This window comes from Homo sapiens, chromosome 10 (genome assembly GCF_000001405.40).
Source record: "Homo sapiens chromosome 10, GRCh38.p14 Primary Assembly".
Taxonomy (NCBI): domain Eukaryota; kingdom Metazoa; phylum Chordata; class Mammalia; order Primates; family Hominidae; genus Homo; species Homo sapiens.
This window is the reverse complement of record NC_000010.11, coordinates 53,474,276-53,477,587: the sequence shown is the minus strand read 5'-3', so window position 1 is coordinate 53,477,587 and position 3,312 is coordinate 53,474,276. Positions and strand designations below refer to the sequence as shown.

Genomic DNA, 3,312 nt, shown 5'->3' with positions numbered 1-3,312 from the left:
TTTCAACTGCATCTGCTAAAATTCTTATCAGGAATGTCAGAGTCCTGCCTTAGCAACCTTGGGAGGCATCACTCAAGGAGATAAGCGATTAGGTTCTTCCTTTTATGGTTAGGAATTCAGCCTAGTCAGCTAAGTTAGGAAGGGGTAGCTTTCTACTAGGTGACTTGGGTCAGCTTGTTAAGGGAGGCAAGAAGGTAGGGGAGGGAATATGCTCAGACATAGAAGACTTATTGGGAGTCTGCTCATGTCTTTTGTCTGCCAAAACCAAGTCTCTTCCCTACACTGTCTCAAACCCCAGGCTAGAATGCTATTTCTTTGTATTAGAACTAGGCTGATCCTTATATTTGTAGTAGATTATTATGTTTGAAAACTGTGTACTGGCTTCAAGAACAATGTAACAATTAGTTGTTAAACGATCTGGAAGGGTGCTGAATGTTTTTGTGTACAAATAGCTCCTCAATTTTACCATTACTAATTAACGTAAGCCTAAAAAAATTAGTTAATTTAGACTTTTAAAATTAAAAGATAATACCTTATGCCTATAAACCAAAACTAAAATTATAAGCCCCTCAACCATCTGAATATACCATTCCTCTCTACCAAGGGCATTCCATTGTTACCCTGAAAAACTAGTTCAGGCCATGATGGGAAGTGGAGGGTCAGACATGCCTCACAACTGACCAGCATTAACATTAAAACAGAGATTTTAAGACTGATAGAAGAGACTCTTTAAGTCTGATAAGAAACCTTTACAATCTATTCTCTCTGAAGCCTACTACCTGGAGGCTTCATCTGCATGATAAATCCTTGGTCTCCACAAGCCCTTATTGTAACCCAGACATTCTTTTCTATTGATTCTAGGTATTTGGATAATAACTCTTTCAACCAATTGCACATCAAAAAATCTTTAAATCCACCTATCACCTGGAAGCCCGTTTCCAGTTGTCCCATCTTTCTGAACCAAGCCAATGTACATCTTACACATATCAATTGATGCTTTATGTCTCCTTAAAATATATAAAACCAAGTTGTAGTCCGATTACCTTGGGCATGTATTCTCAGGATCTCCTGAGGGGTGTGTTACAGGCCACTGATCACTCATATTTGGCTCAGAATAAATCTCTTCAAATATTTTGCAGTTTGACTCTTCTCATCAAAATGACTTAGTCATATAACACTAAATTTATAAAACCAATTTGGAGAGAATATGATTTTACTTTGTTTTGATACGTATTGAATTGGCAGACATTTGGCAGCATTTGACAGTCAGAAATATTCTATGCACCCAGTGTAGTGCTTTTTTTTAAAAGTAGGTAGGCCCATGTGAAAAAACCAAGAGATTTTACATGAAACATTGATTTTTGCTTCTCTGGCAACATATTCCTTATAATCAAATATGGAAATATCTGAGCAAGGGTTTCCTGATTCAAATGGTACAGACATTCATGCTCTTTGATTTATTTTGATGCAATTTTTATTACTCAGAAAGCACACAAATATGTATATATTGTAGCCATTTTTCTCATTATTATGTACCTCAACTTTGTAGATATTTAGCTTGTGGCTCCTGCAATATAACTAGGCACACACACACACACACTCACACAGACACATATATACATACATCATTACTGGTGGAATCAAGCTACATGTATTATGTACACAGCATGTATATAATCTATACATATATATACACATAAAGATTTATATGTGTATTTCTGATGGTGTACAGAGGCAAAAAATGAAAATAAAGCATCTGAAAGGAGAAGGGTGAGGGCTCTGGGACAAAAGAGGTTTTTATTTGCTATTTTTCTTTCCTGATCATTTTATGAGTCCTATCCTTCATTCATCAGGGACTAGCAAGCAGTATTAGGTTAGCTACTTGCAGAAAGCTGACACTGTTTCTTTCAAAAGGGTTTAGAGGGATTCTGTCAACACTAAGTTGTAATATCCTTTTCTGTTTGATCTTACGTTGACATTTCCTTCAAACTCTGTCCTTTAAGTTAACCAAAGTGTGCCTGTGTGAAATCAAATGTAAAGGATTTCTATAATATATTCACTACTTTACATACATGGTCATTTACAGCAGGGTGTTAAAGCAGCTTGGCAGCCATGTTATGGACTTTCACAGATGTATTTGCATTAAAACACATTGTTAAAAACTGATAGCCACTTTTATTAGTATCAAAAGTACCCCAAAAAGAGAACATATAAATTTGACAAATATCCCTTAACTGAAAAAGATAAATGCACAGTATTTGTACATTTTTCAATCTTGAGGATTAATATATATGAAAAAAATAGATGACACATTTTACGAGAAAATGAAGTGGGAGCTAGTCAATAAATGCCTCAGAGTCTGCAATGTGTCAGCTTTACTAATAAGAATGTCGTGATCTGTTCAATAAAGGGCAAAATATCTCCCCCCAAAATTGATTTAATTTATAGGGTAGTGTGTTTCCAAAGGGAAAATCTTTTCATTTACAAATCAAAGTACTGAATCTAACAGCTGTTTTATAGTTCACAATTTATATAAACACTTTTATTTAAAATCTCCATTTTATTCAGTCTTCACAATCTTCACGTATCTGTAAGGCTAAATTAAGGGCAACATGAAATTTTCAAGTAGACTGTATTTTAGTTTGCAAATCAGCATCTTTTCTTTCTATAGGAGATGCCTACTGGGCGTTCTGAATACTCAGAACACTGGTTGCTGAATCTGTGGCACCTTTGAAACTTTTGAAAAATAAATTCACCTCTCTGGGTTTCAGTTTCTTCAACTATAAAATGAAACATTTGAAGAAACAGTCTGTAAATTTTTTCCCCACTATAATTCTGTGATTTAATTCTTCTAAGGTAGCTATCTGAATGATCTAATGGAATCTGTTTAGATCATGAAAAATAGGAGAATAGAAATCTTCAATATTCCACTGCTTTTTTCTTCTAACCCTGATACCCATGCCACCTTTGAAGCTAGAGTTTAATCAGAGTAAAACATGAATATGGCAGATATATTTGGTTGTTGTTGCTTCTGTAACTAACACTGATTTAGTAGCTTAAATGAACACAAGTTTACCTTACAGTTTAGGAGATTCAAATTTCAAATCAGCCTCACTGGGATAAAGTCAAAATGTCAACTGCACTGGTTCCTTTAGGAGACCAAGGGGACAATTCATTTTATTTCCTTGTTGAGCTTCTAGAGGCCACCTGTATTCCTTGGATTATGGTAATTTCCTTGCATCACTCCAACCTCTTGCTGCCATTGTCATATCTTCCACTGCTAGTTTTTATCCTCATGCCACCCTTTCATTA

At 35.2% G+C, this 3,312-nt stretch overlaps 1 annotated feature.

Moving 5' to 3' along the window:
- Positions 305 to 1,194: an enhancer, noted in NCBI's record as "OCT4-NANOG hESC enhancer chr10:55236154-55237043 (GRCh37/hg19 assembly coordinates)". NCBI's record gives its function as "activates a minimal SCP1, AML or CMV promoter by ChIP-STARR-seq in primed H9 embryonic stem cells {active_cell/tissue: H9 hESC(primed)}" and the evidence as "EXISTENCE:reporter gene assay evidence [ECO:0000049][PMID:30033119]".